This window comes from Homo sapiens, chromosome 4 (assembly GCF_000001405.40).
Source record: "Homo sapiens chromosome 4, GRCh38.p14 Primary Assembly".
Lineage (NCBI taxonomy): Eukaryota > Metazoa > Chordata > Mammalia > Primates > Hominidae > Homo > Homo sapiens.
Window position 1 is genome coordinate 99,038,793 of NC_000004.12, and position 16,199 is coordinate 99,054,991.

Below are 16,199 nucleotides of genomic sequence, written 5' to 3' on the forward strand. Positions count from 1 at the left end.
TAAATAAAGATTTCATGGCAGCACTTATTCCTACTCCGTATAATACGAGTATAATACTTTGTTATGCCATTTTAATATTTTCTGTCCCATTTATTTACTTTTAAAAAATGTTAAGTGTAGCCTAATAAAAGGTCACAAACTGGAGATTGAAAAACACTTAACTTTGGTTCCTGTTTCAGAAAATAGTGTAATTAATTCATCAGTTGTTGATGTATAATTGCTTCATGAGATGATTATGAAAGTAATTTGTAAATTCTGTGGTACTTTTCAAATGTATATCATTTACTGAGTCTGATTATCACACGGCCTGGCATATAATAAGTACTCTATAAGTATTGGCTGATTTCTAATAGGTCTGAAAATTTATCTTTTAGAATTTTTTCTTCAGTTGGTTTAGCGAGTTTCCCTTTGATGTTGAAAATGTTTTTTTTTAAAAATCTAACCTAGACCATCCCAAATCATGAATTACTGTTGTGTGAAACAGTGAGACTACTGTTTTTATGCCACAGGTTTATAATTATGCAAATAAATACTACATCTTTGCATTCATTTTGGTTTTACTTACCGAATTTTCATTCCAGGAATGTCTGAATCTGAACAGGCTCTTAAAGGTACTTCTCAGATTAAATTACTCTCATCTGAAGATATAGAAGGGATGCGACTTGTATGTAGGGTAAGAGTGATTTTTTCTCCATGGGGTAGGAAATGTTTAAGCAGTACTTAGACATGAAGTCAGTGGTTTGCTGATTTATAAAGATAGCAAATGTTATATTGTTAGACTGACCAGCCATGCTTTTTTTTTTTTTTTAACTTTTTTTTGAGACAGAGTTTCACTCTGTCGCCCAGGCTGGAGTGCAGTGGCGTGATCTCTGCTCACTGCAACCTCCACCTTCTGTTTTCAAGCGATTCTTCTGCCTCAGCCTCCTGAGTAGCTGGGATTACAGGTGCCCACCACCACACCTGGCTAATTTTTGTATTTTTAGTAGAGATGGGGTTTCACCATGTTGCCCAGGCTGGTCTCGAACTCCTGACCTCGTGATCTGCCCACCTTGGCCTCCCAAAATGCTGGGATTACAGGCGTGAGCCACCACACCTGGCCTTTTTTTGTATTTTTAGTAGATACAGGGTTTCACCATGTTGGCCAGGCTGGTCTCTAACTCCTGACGTAAGGTGATCTGCCCGCCTCGGCCTCCCACAGTGCTGGGATTACAGGCGTGAGCCATTGTGCCCGGTTTAGCCATGCTTTTCATTAAACTATTGTTAGTATATAATTTTAGTCAACAGTTTTCTTCTTAAAAGCCTATTTCAGAATTAATCTGGTGGATAGTCTATATTTAGATGACAATCCTTTTCATTTATTTAATGATATTTAAAAACATTTTGTCATTTTATTTTCACAAGTCATCATAACATAGGACAGAGTTTAAGGCTCAGAGGGTTATGCTGTAGGCCTTTTTGTGAAATACCTATGATGAGTGGTAGTAGTGGTTGGTACTCATTAGGTGAAATCACATATTTATTCTGAAGGAAAATATAATACATTGATATTATTCATTTAAGTAAGATTCTTAAGGTTTCTATTCAGTGCTTTAAAAGTGATTTGATTCTAATTTTGTTTGATATCCTGGAGAACTTTCTCTTCCTATGACTTGCTGTGATTCTTTGAGGAATTCATTCATCTATTTTTTTTTTTTTGAGACAGGGTCTTGCTATCACTCAGGCTAGAGTACAGTGGCACAATCATAGATCATATAGATCATAGCTCATAGCTTACTGTAACTCCAAACTCCTGGGCTCAAGCTATCCTTCCACCTCAGCCTCCTGAGTAGCTGGGATCACAGGCATGTGCCACTACACCTGACTACTTTTTTTTTTTTTTTTTTTAAGAGACAGGATCTCACTATGTTGCCCAGGCTCATCTGTTCTTTTTTCTTTTCCTCTACTTTTCCCCATTATAGAAATGAGAGAAGACTACCTCTATCAGTTGATGATAGTTTAGATTTCTTAGGATGTATATTTTCACATAGAAATCAGCCAACCTTACTGCTGCTTGCTTGTTAACCCAATTTTTATATAAAATTAATGTTTGTTTTTATGTATTTACATATAATATATTTATATATTTTCTATAAAATTATAATATTCAAGGGGAGATTCATTTTTACCAATCTTCCACAGTCAAACAGTAGAAAGGGTATAGATTTCTGTTTCTGTGTCTTTTTTAATGTATTGAGTGTTCCTTTTTTACAGCTTGCTAGAGAAGTTTTGGATGTTGCTGCCGGCATGATTAAACCAGGTGTAACTACTGAAGAAATAGATCACGCTGTACACTTAGTAAGAACTTCACTTTTTTACTTTGAGTAATTTTGTTACATTACTAGATGCTTTGAACTTAAACATTAAGTAGATTTAAGTTCTGAGTGTCTAAGGTAACTTGGGTAAACTCATTTGAAAGCAAATTTTTGCTTTGTTTCAAATATGGAAAACATTCAACAGTCATTATTCTCATCTTTAAGAATCTATAATATTAAGGTCTGAGGTAAGCTTGAAATATCTTGTTTCTGAAACAACATATTTGTAATAAGCATTTCAGTTGAGCTTTTATAAAATGATTGATTTTATCTGCTTTAAGTAAATCCTGCCACTACAGACATCAAATATTCTGAAATAAAAAAAAGAATATGACTTCTGATGGTAGATTAGTTAAATGTTTCCTCAAGGCAATGAACAGTCCACATAAATATTTGTAGTAAGTATAGGGATTAAAAATAAATAAATAAAGATTGTCTGCCCATCAAAGAGAGACCTTAAGACCTTATTAGATGAGTGTACACATTATATGAATTTTAAAAAAAAGAGTGATAAGTAGTTAATATAACATATGGAAAGCAGATCACACGTGTTCTAGTAAACAAATACAAATTATAAAGACCTAGTAAATTTGTATTTTAAAGATGTTTATATGCATTGCTTGTGTGGAAATGATGAAACTGGTCCTCTCTTCTGCTTGGTGATGGTATTGTAAATTGGAAGAACCCTTTTGGAAGGATTTGACAATCTATCTTGAGCTATGAAAATGTTTATAAATTTTTTATTCAGAATCTTATTAATCCTGACTTTTGGGTATTGTTTCATATGTTAGTATAAGACGTATCGTATGCAATAATAGCATTTTGAGTATGCTCTGTGGGCCAGGTACTCAAGTGCTTCTTTTACATTAACTCATTAATCTTACCAACAACCTCTTGAGGGTAGGTACTATTGTAATCTCCGTTTTATAGGTAAGGAAACTGAGGAAGAGAGAGGTTAATTAATTAAATTGGTAAAAGTTACACAACTTGTAAGTGATGGAATTGGCATTTTCAATCTAGAAAGTCTAATTCTGTATGCTCTGAACTATTATTTGTAATGCTATGAGAAGTAGAGAAGTATATTCCTAAATGAGGGAAAAGCCACAAATGTAGTTATTGGTTGTAAGATTTTTTTTTTTTTTGTAATTGAGGAAACTTCATATTAATTTAGATTTTCAGTAAGAATGGAATTGCTAGTAAAATCATGGTATATTCTGCATATTCTGCAAATGGTATATTGTGCAACCATTAAAAAATATTAGCCTGAAGACTAGAGCAGGTTGGAAACAGAAATTACGTATACTGTGATTACCACTGTGTAAAAGCATCCAGTAAAGTAAGACTTGTTATGGAGAGCAGACCATGTTTTTCTGTTAGGAGTTCTTTTGTTGTTCCACTGAATGTGGTTATTAAAATATCTGGAAGTACTTTACCGTTTCTTAATTATACTAGTAGTCATTTTTGGGGCATAGTGATATAGGCTTGTTTCAACATAAGAATTATAATTACATCAAAAATGCTTGTTAATATTTACTTCAAATATTTTATTTTTACTTTAACATTTTTCATAAGGACTAGTTAATTCTAAAGTAAAATCTTCATATGTGGTAATATTTATATATATATTTGTTATAGAGGTTGAGTATCCCTTATCTGAAATGCTTTGGACCAGAAGTGTTCTGAATTTTGAATTTTTTTGGATTTTGGAATATTTGTATTATACGTAACTGGTTAAGTGTCTGTAATTTCAAATTTGAAATTCTAAATGCTCCAATGGGCATTTCTTTGAGTGTCCTGTCGGTGTTCAGAAAGTTTCAGATTTTGGAGGATTTCAGATTTTTGGATTAGGAATACTTAACCTGTATGTCATTTTACTTTTCCTTTGTGCAGTTACCAGTAAACTGGTTTGTGTATGTGTACCTGACTGGCACAAACCCTGTTGTATATTGTTTAAGATAATATCCAGTACTGTTACTAAAATAAAATACTGAGTTCTTCATAGTAGCATGTGTCCAACTGTTTTCACATTTTTCAAATTTTAAAATCTGTAATTTCATACAGATTTTTTCTTTTATATATTCCAAATTATTTTTTCTGTATTATAGGCATGTATTGCAAGAAATTGCTACCCTTCTCCCCTGAATTATTATAATTTCCCAAAGTCTTGTTGTACCTCAGTGAATGAAGTCATTTGCCATGGAATACCAGACAGAAGGCCCTTACAAGAAGGTGACATTGTTAATGGTAAGAAAAATATGTTACTTTCATCACCATGGGCAAAGAAACAACAAAGCTTGGGGAATCTGACAGTGACTTGTGTTTTCTTGACTTGCTTCCTGTACTTAAACTTTTTCCTTTTTAAAATTCAGTATCACTAACTCTTAAATCTACAGGAAGCTCTCTTAACGGTTTTGTGCATGTTGCTTTTAAGATACTTCCGGTGTGATGTGTTTGGTGCAGTGTATTTCTTTAATGCTTATCTCATATGTGATTGGTAAATAGGTCAAAGATGTCAGTGAAATGTGGAGTCTAGTTTTTTTCCCCCAGAAGTTCACTAATGGTTTTGAAGAGACCAGGGCAGGCTTTGTTATAGATACAGGAAAACCCTTCATAATATATGAAGACCTAAAGGAAAGCTGAAAATCTTGCAGAAGTGCCTTACTTGAGTGGAAGTAGCTTTAAAGACCCCTATGTTAAGCTACCTTGGGAAGTTACAAGTATAGAGAGTAGAGGAAGTAGTTTAAAAGACATTAATGAAGGCTTTCCTAGATGGCATTTGTTTTTGTTTTGTGTATTATTTTATTTTTTGGAGACAGGGTCTCACTGTCACCCAGGCTCGAGTGCAGGGGCGCCACCATGGCTCACTGCAGTCTTGACTTCCCTGGCTCAGGTGATCCTCCCACCTCAGAAGTAGATGAGACTGCAGGCTCATTGCTACCATGCCCAGCTCAGTTTTTGTATTTTTTGTAGAGATGGGGTTTTGCCATGTTGCCCAGGCTGGTCTCAAACTCCTGGACTCAAGCATCTGCCCACCTTGGCCTCCCAAAGTCTTGGGATTACAGGCATGAGCCACCGTGCCTGGCTTAGATGGCATTTTAATATTGATGGAATTAGACTCTTTGTTAATAAGATATCTTAAAGGAACTACCTATCAAATGAGGAAGCATGAGCCCAAGTGTTAGAGGCTGCAGATAATTGACTGATTGTGATGCTAGCTGTGAATGATAGCCGAAATTTAACTATGACACTATTTTTATTAGAATTGCTACTGCTTTAGTTAGGGTATCTGTTCATAAAGTTCCATAGGTTTTGAGGCCAACCCTGTTTTTCAAATATAAAGCCTGTTATTTTTATTATATGTAGAATGTGTGAGGTTTTTCAGGAATGTATGTGTTGTGCTAGAACCAAAATATCTATATTGTGATGTTACAGGTTGATTGAAATATGTGGTTTAAAAATACTCAATGTGCTCTCTAGATACATTATAATGGTATAATAGTATATAATATATAGTATAATAGTAATCTATATTCTTAAACATGGGGACAAAGAGAAGAATGAATATTCACAAATAAGAGAAAAGCAAATGAGTTTTAAAAAAACAGGTGTAGAGCAGTGTAAATTTTTCTGTTATTCCCTAGCAGGAGTAAGGAACTTGTAAAAGATAAGTGAAAATGGTATTTTGTAGCAATGTAGCAAAGTTTTCAATTTAATGTTACTAACTCTGGTAATTTATTTTGCATGATTGTGTCCCACATACATTTTTCTTTTGCCACAAGTGATACAATTACTATAAGAGTATAAAAACCCACTATCTGGCTTATGTTACATGGCCATATTCCTGCTCTCCACAGTGAGTTCAGTTACATCTCAGGGAGCTTCTGTTGGGCAATAACTATCTATCCATTGGTGTCTAATTTGAGAATGCAGAAGTTGTCTTTTTCATTAAGTTGCTAGATGCTGTCATGTTGGAAAAACACTTGAATTTTGAAATGAAAATAAGTATGGTCTTTATATTTGCACATTCTCTTGCAGTGGATATCACTCTTTATCGCAATGGTTATCATGGGGACCTGAATGAGACATTTTTTGTTGGAGAAGTGGATGATGGAGCACGGAAACTTGTTCAGACCACATATGAGTGCCTGATGCAAGCCATTGATGCAGGTCAGCCTCAGTGTTGAGCACCTATTGGCAGTCCTGTGTGTTGATGGGCCAAGAATGACTGGGCGCTGCAGTTCTGTGCATTCCTTGTACCTTCCAGGTTGCCCCTGTTCTACCTGAGTTAGCTTTGGTTGTTAGCAGTAATGGGTAAAAGGATGATCTGGGAATCTCTTGGTGGTGATAGACCAGATGATTGGTTAGCATCCTTTGTTTCTTCTGTGATTTATCTTCCTTTTCTTTGCCTGATAAATGAAGAGGACTGTGCAGATGGTTTTTTAGTGCAACTTTTATTCTATTTTTAAAATTCTTTCCAGTACATAAATATTATGTTCTCCTCATAAAAAATTAAAAGTGAAGATTATGAGTGAAAAATGTGTGATCCTCCTTTACACTTGCCTCCCCTCTTATCTCTCTCTTCTCTCTAGAGATATCCCATTACCGTTTAGGTTTTTTCTCTCTCCTGTGCATTAATGCACACACGTATGTGTATGTGTTAAATTAAGTTAAATGGAATCATAATATTTTTAATGTGTAACTGGGCTGTTTTTTCAACTATCATAGAGATCTTTTCAAGTTAGCATATATACCTACAGACATAGATTTACCTCATTCTTTTAATGGCTATGTATTATATTCTATAGTATTACAATTTGTGTAACTATTCTGTTGGATTTTGGTGCTTTCCAGATTTCTTACTATTGTAGTAATGGGTAGGGGTGTATTTCTGGAGGATTTTTCTCAGGCTGTCTGTCTTTGTACATATGAACAACTTATCGAGGCTTTTTTGTTTAATCAGTATCTTATGGGGATAAGAGAAGGAAAGGGGCTGGGCATGGTGGCTCACTCCTGTAATCCCAGCACCTTGGGAGGCTGAGGTTGGCAGATCACTTGAGGTCAAGAGTTCGAGACCAGCCCGGCCAACATGGTGAAACCCTGTCTCTAATAAAAATACAAAAATTAGCCAGGTGTGGTGGCGGGCGCCTGTAATCCCAGCTACTCGGGAGGCTGAGGCAGGAGAGTTGCTGGAACCTGGGAAGTGGATTGTGCCACCGCATTCCAGCTTGGGCAACAGAGCGAGACTCCATTTCAAAAAAAGAAGAAAAGAAAAAAAAGAAAGGAAAGTTCTTAACAGCATCTTGTTGGAGTTGTTAACAAACTGTTAATAAATGGGCAAACAGCCTTCTGGTTAAATCCTTACCATATCAACTTTATTACCAGTGTGCTACCTGCAATCCTCCCCAGTCTCTCCAAATCTTGATGTCATCAACAGAATAGTGAACAGGACAGAGTTCTTAGACAAACATACAGTTATCTCTAATAATGTTGATCCAGTATTTTTATTGTTTTTAGTGCGTTCTTTAATGTGTATGGGAGATGAAATTTTTACTCAAGTTGGAGGAATGGAAATGAAGGAATATGATATTTTTGTGTATCAGGTGAAATTTTGAAAACTTATTACTCATTGTTGATTATTTTAAAACATTAATACAGGAGGTGGAATTGAAGAAATTTAATGTTTAATTTGTCATTTGTGAAAGCTTAAGTTTGAAATAATTTTTAGAGTTTCTGCCAGATAATATAGTCAATATTTCTATTCTTTTTGCTTCTCTGTGAATCAACTGAAGAAACAAAAAAAAAAAAAAAAAAAAAAGAAAAAGAAAAAACCAGATAGTTAGAATGCTGTTTTATATGACGTATGACTGGAACTTGCCAATAGTTTTCATAACAGTAGCCAGGAAGGAACGAAAGTGGCTTGATCTTTTTTGGAAAGTGCTTTGAATTCCTTTGTATATATCATTTTTGCCCCTCATTTTGCACCTCCCTTACTCCCCCAGGTAGAGGGTTTGAAAAGCTGTTGAAATTAGGCTTCTTAAGTAGGGTTTCTTAGTCTATGCACTTAGTGGCTTTTGGGCCTGATAATTTTTTGTTGTAGAGACCTGTTCTATACACATAAGATGTTCCACAAGCATTCCTGGTCTCTACCCAGTAAATGCCAGTTACACCACCACCCTGTGTTTGACAACCAGAAATATTAATATCTCTAGATACTACCCTTGGGGCCGCAGTTGGAGCAGTTTGAAAATTAGGGAAGACTTCCTCTGTCACTCTTTCTATGCAACATGGATTACAATATTGTTCCCCCTCCCACCCCAGGCTGATAGGAAGGCCTGGATAGGAATGAAAGAAAGTAATTATGAAAGTCAGCATGATTTTTCAAAACCAGAAACCTCCTTCCTTCTCCCCCCAAAATCAAGCTGCAAAATACAGTTAAGAGCAAGTAAAAATGTTAATTAAACTGATTCCTTGAGCTATTTACCCTGAAATGGATGGGAAAGATACATTGTATCTGAACCTCAGTCTGGGAATCAGATAGGCTGAGTAGGAGAGTAGAGAGAGTTAAGGATCCCCAGAGCCATCTTGAGGTTCTCTAGGAGTCTGACAGTGCCCAGCTCCTGGGTCTTAGTGTGAGGGAGAACCTTATAGTGATGAGAACCACTTTTTTTGTTTTGTGTTTTATTGAAACACTAGTAAAAGTCATAAAAACTAAACAGAGCAGAAAGTGTATATAGTGAGAAGTATCTTTCCTGTACTGTACCTCTAGGGTTGTCCTGTAGAGGCAGTCATGGAAAGTTTGAGAACTATTTTTATGGGGATAAAGAAGCCCAGGGGAAGTAAGTCTTTTAGAAGTTGTCCAGGCTGAAACTCAGGACAATTCGTTACTTTTTGGACGTTCCTTTTACTCCTAGTGCACTTTCTTATCTCTTCTGCTCATATTAATAGAATGGAACACTTGGCCTTAGGGAAGGATGCGAAAAGAAGTGTATTTTCCTCTCTATTTTTCTCTGTTGTTAAAGAAAGCAAAAGGTACCTACTTCCAACCCTTTAGTGCTGCTATGAGTCTAACGTTTTTGGCATGAAAGGAGGAACTACAGATGCCCTTGGTTTGAATTAGAACTTTACCAATTACTGGCTGTTTGGCCTCTCTGTGCCTCATCTGTAAGTTGAGGCATGGATGCATAAAAGTGTTTCAAAAACTTCCTAGCACAAAGATAGTAATTACTTTTTTTTTTTCTTTTTCTATTTTGAGACAAGGTCTCTCTCTTTTGCCCAGGCCAGAGTACAGTGGCAGGAACACTGCAGCCTTGACCTCCCGGGTTCTAGTGATCCTCCTAGCACAGCCTCCCAAATGTAGCTGGGACTATAGGCATGCACCACTATGCGGGACTAATTTTCATATTTTTTGCAGAGACAGGGCTTTGCCCTGTTGCCCAGGCTGGTCTTGAACTCCTGAGCTCAGGCGATCTTCCTGCCTTGACCTCTCAAAGTGCTGGGATTACAGGCATGAGCCACTGCATCTGGTTGATAGTAATTGCTTAGTACGTATTAGTTATTAGTTTATCATGAATTTTCTTTTTTCCTTTCAGTGAAGCCTGGTGTTCGGTACAGAGAATTGGGAAACATTATCCAGAAGCATGCCCAAGCAAATGGGTTTTCAGTTGTTCGAAGCTATTGTGGGCATGGAATCCACAAGCTTTTTCATACAGCTCCCAATGTACCCCACTATGCTAGTAAGTACTATCCAGAGATTTGGTATAAGCTCACCATTTATTCAACAAATACTTATTCATACATTTAACAGTACCTACTATTTTGTATTCACTAGAGTAATCTCTTAGCTGTAATAGATAGATTCCCAAAATGTGTATTTGCTGAAACACAGTGCAAGTTCGTATCTTACTCACATAATAGTCCAAGGCAGGTGTGTTTGGTCACTGTGGGGGCAGGGCAGTTACTATGTGACACAGGCTGTGTCATCTTTGACCTATGGCTTTCAAAGTCACTTTGGGAGTTGCCCTCCTGGTCAGTAGATAGTGGAGATGTTGGGGGTTGAAGCTTGAAGGGGTATACCTGGGAGTTTTTAACAGACAGCTGGAATTGGCATAAATCAAATTTATTTTCCATTGGCAGGAATTCAGTCACATGGCTACATTTAAATGCAAGGGAGATGGGAAAACGTAATCTAATTGTGTTATGGAAGAAAAGTAACCTTATTTTGGCAAACAGTCAACAGTTTGCCACAGGCCTAGCCATTACTCTTCTGATTCCTTAGGTGAAGTCAGTTCGTCTTGCTTGGTTTGAGTGTTTAATGTATGTCAGATCCTGTAATATTTGTTTATATAAATAGAGGGGAATAAACAAAGTGCCTTTCCTTAGGTTGAGTGCCGTGTGATACAATAACAAAGAAAGTGTAAGATAGATAATATCTTACAGAAACATTTTCTGTAGAGAGAGAAGAACATGTTCAGGAATGAATCTGTTATTTAATGTCAGAAATGAAAGCTGTCCACAGTAAGTGACCTAGGAAGGAACTTAGCACATATATTTTGAGCCGCTGCTAGATGAACACTTTCATCTCCTTGTGCTTAATTTTTTTCATCTGTACAATAGTAGGGAATGGTACTTACTGTAGAATTGTTATGAGGATTAAGTGAGATGATACATGGAAAGCACTTAGAATTCTGCATGAAAACAGTACATGAAAGCATTTAATGTTAATGTTTACAATGACAGTAATATGCATTATCTCATTTGATCATCACAACTCTATGGATAACTTCTTAGCCCAATTTTTTTAAAGCAACTCTGTGCTTACAGAGGTAATTGGCTTGCTCAAGGTCACACAAACTAGTAATTAAATGCCAGACTAGCATTGATACCTGGGTTCTGTCTTGCTTTCTGGAGTCAGTCTTTTCTCCCATACTTCATGCTGACGAGTAAGGATTGAAGAAATTTGGTGCAGGGGGCGGTGGGAGAACTAAGTTTTGGTTGGGTGGAGAGGAGAAAAAGCCAGTTGGTGGGTGAACATGGGTGCTTCAAATAGAGAAAAACAGAGAAAATATAAGGTTGGCTGAGTTATATGTTAAGGACTAGCAGCAGGCAGTCCAGGTGTGCCAAATGCCAGACTGAAGGAATTTGACTTGTATGTCGGAATCTTCAGAAATATTTTTGGGCAGAAGAATGGCATAATGAAGCTGATATTTTGAGAAGGCTAATTTGGCAGTGGTGACTAAGATGGATTGCAGGTGGGAGTTCTGAAGATAGTTGGCCTGATGGACAGTTGTTGCTGTAGTGCAGGTGTGAGGTGGTAAAATCCTAGACGTGGATAGTTGTGAAGAGAAAGTGAAATGAGTGAGCAACCTTTCTAAGGGAGAAGCTGGAGCAGTCATTCAGAGCAGGGGTCCCCAGCCCCTGGGCCGCAGACAGGTACCAATCCATGGCCTGTTAGGAGCTGGGCTGCACAGCATGAGGGGAGCAGCAAGCAAGCGAGCTTTACCACCTGAGCTCCACCTGCTGTCAGATCAGCAGTGGCATTAGATTCTCATAGGAGTTTGAACCCTGTTGTGAACTGTGCATGTGAGGGATCTAGGTTGCGCACTCCGTATGAGAGAATCTAATGCCTGATGATCTGAGGTGGAACAGTTTCATCCTGAATCATCCCCCCAAGGCTTGTACCCTCAAAATCCTCCTGGTCTGTGGAAAAATTCTGTTCTACAAAACCGGTCCCTAGTGCAAAATAGGTTGGGGACTGCTGGTTTAGAGCACAGCATCTAATGTGTGTCAATAAATGGTTATTAGCAGACCACCTAATTCTTTTTATTTAAAATGTGAATCATGCTTGAAATAAAAGCTAGCAACAGAAAATAGGTAACTGACTTCATTCCTTCCTTTTATACCCTGTAATCATCTGAATATGCATTCCCTTTCACAGAATGGAAGTAGCTATTCTAGTTACAGTGGGGTGTGTGTATGTAAGAGTATGTGCAGGGGAGGGAATGAAAACAGTCCCCTTACTTGCAGAAGCAATAAAATTTGAGTTTAGATATGGATTTGAGTGTGAGGGAAAGAGAGAGACTGAAGACAATAATATTTATGGGAGAAGGGGATTTTGGTCAGTGGTTATAGTGTCAGCAAAATATGTTGCCACTGTTATACAAAAGGTGTCATGTGAGTTTCCTATTAAAGCATTTGATTAGACATAAGAAACAATTATGAAAAGAGGAACAAAGACCCAGGTGTACTTTATTTTATATAGTTTTTTTGAGACAGGATCTCGCTGTGTCGCCTAGGCTAAAGTGTAGTGGTGCAGTCACAGCTCACTGGAACCTTGACCTCCGAGAGCTCAAGCAGTCCTCCTACCTCAGCCTCCTGAGTAGCTGGTACTTCAGGTGTGGGCCACCATCCCTGGCTAATTTTTATATTTTTGTAGAGACAGGGTTTCTCCATGTTGCCCAGACTGATATCAAACTCCTGGGCTCAAGCAGTCTGCTCACCTCAGGCTCCCAAGGAGCTGGGGTTACAGGTGTGAGCTACCACACCCAGCCTTATATATTATGTTTATGAAGAGTCACATTTATGTAAAACAAAATATGCAATGATCACTGTAGGGAAGTATTAAACTATTGAGGGTTTTTTTTTTTGTATAGCAGAGATATCTTTTGAAATGTAAATCTCTGCTTTAGTTTGTAACTCTATATTCCTAGCCCAAATGAGGGAAGAACCAGGAAATTGTTGTATAACATTCCTCCACTCCTTCTATGTAGGAGAAATCCTTGTTAGGTGAGAGTTTATTTGCTTCTATGTTTGAATCAATGGGTGGGAAGTAATGATGATAATACTCTGCATTTAAACTGTACAGGCATACCTCAGAGGTAACTGTTTGGTTCTAGACCCTTGCAATATAGTGAATATCACAATAAAGCAAGTCATACAGATTTTTTGGTTTCCCAGTGCAGTGCATAAAAAGTTATGTTTATACAGTAGTCTATTGTGTGTGTAGTCTAACAATGCACAACCCTTGATTTAAAAATACTCTATTGCTAAAAAATGCTAACAGTCATCTGAGTCTTCAGTGAGTTGTAATCCTCTGGCTGGTGAAAGGTCTTCTCTTGATGTTGATGGCTACTAACTGATCAGGGTGGTGGTTGCTGAAGGCTGGGGTTTGTATTACATTCTCACATTGTTAGAAATTCCTGGTAGAATTCTTGTTAGAACCTGGGTAATTTATAAAGAAAAGAGGCTTAATTGGCTCACGGTTCTGCAGGCTATACAAGCATGGCAGCATCAGCTTCTGGAGAGGCCTCAGGGAACTTACAATCATGGCGGAAGGCAAAGAGGGAGTGAGTGTCTCACATGGTGGGAGCAGGAGCAAGAGAGAGAGTGCATGGGAGGAGAAACAACCAGATCTCATGACAACTCATTCACTGTGCAGTACCAAGGGAGGTGGTGCTAAACCATTCATGAGAACTCTGCGCCCAGGATCCAGTCACTTTCCACCAGGCCTCTCCTCCAACACTGGGAATTACATTTCAACATAAGATTTGGGTAGGAACACAGATCCAAACCATATCAGGGTTGTTGTGGCAGTTTCTTGAAATAAGACAACAAAGTGTGTCACATTGATTGACTCTTCCTTTCACGAAGGATTTTTCTGTAGCTTGTGATATTGTTTGATAGCATTTTATCCACAGAACTTCTTTGAAAATTGGAGTCAGTTCTCTCAAACCCTGCTCCTGTTTTATCAACTAAGTTTATGTAATATTCCAAATCTTTTGTTGTCATCTCAACATCTTCTCTATGGGTAGATTCCATTTCAAGAAACTACTTTCTTTGTTTATCTGTAAGAAGCAGCTACTCAACTGTTCAAGTTTCATCATGAGATTGCAGCAATCCACTCACATCCTCAGGCTCCATTACTAATTCTAGTTCTCTTGCTCTTTCCACCACATCTGCAGTTACTTGCTCCACTAAGTTTCAAACTCCTCATAGTCATCCAAAAGGGTTGAAATCACTTTCTGCCCAACTCATGTTAATATTGATATTTGGCTTCCTCTCATGCATCACACAATTTCCTCCCATGAATCACAATTTTTTGGTTTTGGTTTTGTTTTTGTTTGTTTTGAGACAGGGTCTCACTCTGGTTGCCCAGGCTGGAGTGCAGTGGCACGATCTCAGCTCACTGCAGCCTCCACCTCCTGGGCTCAGGTGATTCCCCCACCTCAGCCTCCTGAGTAACTGGGATTACAGGCACGTACCACCCTGCCTGGCTATTTTTTTTTGTATTTTTAGTAGAAATGGGATTTTACTGTGTTGCCCAGGCTGGTCTTGAACTTCTGGAGTCATACATTCCACCCGCCTCTGCCTCCCAGAGTGCTGGGATTACAGGCGTGTGCCACCACACCCAGCCTACAAAGTTTTTAATGGCATCGAGAATGGTGAATTCTTTCAAGAAGGTTTTTCAGTTTACTTTTGTCCAGATTCATCAGAGGAATCACTATCTACGGCAGCCTTAGAAAATGTATTTCTTAAATAATAAGACTTGAAAGTCAAAATTCCTTCTTGATCCATGAGCTACAGAATAGATGCCATGTTAGCAAGCATGAAACCAACATTCATCTCCTTGTACATCTCTGTTAGAGCTCTTGGGCGACCAGGTGCATTGTCAGTGAGCAGTAATATTTTGAAACGAATCTTTTTCTCTGAGCAGTAGGTTTCAGCATTAATATTATTAATTATATTAACTATATTATATGTTAATTATATATTAATATTATTAAAATATTCAGTAAACCATGCTATAAATTGAGGTGCTGTCATCCAGGCTTTGTTGTTCTGTTTCTAGAGCACAGGCAGAGTAGATTTCGCTTCATTCTTAAGGAATCTTTAGGAATGGTAGATGAGCATTGGCTTCAACTTAAAGTCACAAGCTGCAGGATCCCCTAACAAGAAAGTCAGCCTGTTCTTTGAAGCCAGTTGTTGACTTCTCCTCTCTAGTGAGAAAGTCCTAGGTGGCATTTTCTTCCATTAGAAGGCTGTTTTGGTCTGCATTGAAAATCTGTTTGTTAGTATAGCCACCTTCATCAATTATCTTAGCTATATCTTCTGGCAAATTTGCTGCAGTTTCTACATCAGCACTTGCCGCTTCACCGTGCACTTTTATGTAATGGAGACGGATTCTTTAAACCTCACGAACCAACCTCTGCTAGCTTTCAACTTTTCTTCTGCAGCTTTGTCACCTCTCTCAGCCTTCGTAGAATTGAAGAGAGTTAGTGCCTTGCTCTGGATTGGGCTTTGGCTTAAGGGAATGTTGTCGGTTGTGTGATCTATCCAGACCATTCAAACTTCCTCCATAACAGCAGTAAGACTGTTTTACTTTCTTGCATTTGTGGGTTCAGTGAAGTAGCGCTTTCAATTTCCTTCAAGAACTTTCCCTCTGCATTCACAATGTGGCTAACTCTTTGGAACAAGAGACCTAGCTTTTGGCCTATCTAGGCTATTGACATGCCTTTCTCATTAAGTTTAATCATTTCTAGCTTTTGATTCAAAGTGAGAGACATGTGACTCTTCCTTTCAGTTAAACACTTAGAGGCCATTCTAGGGCTATTAAGTGGCCTAATTTCAGTATTGTGTTTCAGGGAATAGGGAGGCCTGAGGAGAGGGAGAGAGAAGTGGGGCAGGCTGATGGAGCCTTCAGAACACACACAAACATTTGTTTGCCGTCTTTACATGGGCACAGTTTGTGGTGCTCCAAAACAATTAAAATTTTAACATCAAAGACCATTGATCACAGATCACTATAACTGGTGTGATAATAATGAACATGTTTGAAAGATTGTGAAAATTACC

At 37.9% G+C, this 16,199-nt stretch overlaps 1 protein-coding gene across 15 annotated transcripts in view, besides 1 other annotated feature; it reads left to right on the forward strand.

Annotated features, from left to right (window-relative positions):
- Window positions 1-16,199, forward strand: part of METAP1 (methionyl aminopeptidase 1) — a 67,089-nt gene that overhangs the window by 43,072 nt on the left and 7,818 nt on the right. For 11 of the 15 annotated variants that reach the window (NM_015143.3, XM_011531777.4, XM_047449884.1 and 8 more), the window contains 5 exons: window positions 582-673; window positions 2,251-2,334; window positions 4,457-4,595; window positions 6,387-6,518; window positions 9,941-10,084. In NM_015143.3, coding sequence (NP_055958.2) covers window positions 582-673; window positions 2,251-2,334; window positions 4,457-4,595; window positions 6,387-6,518; window positions 9,941-10,084 — 591 coding nt within the window. The remainder of the gene's footprint in view (window positions 1-581; window positions 674-2,250; window positions 2,335-4,456; window positions 4,596-6,386; window positions 6,519-9,940; window positions 10,085-16,199) is intronic. The other 4 variants (XM_011531779.3, XM_024453946.2, XM_024453947.2 and 1 more) reach the window with 2 other exon arrangements.
- Window positions 15,963-16,032: an enhancer, noted in NCBI's record as "active region_21737". NCBI's record gives its function as "activates an Ori minimal core promoter by ATAC-STARR-seq in GM12878 lymphoblastoid cells {active_cell/tissue: GM12878}" and the evidence as "EXISTENCE:reporter gene assay evidence [ECO:0000049][PMID:35858748]".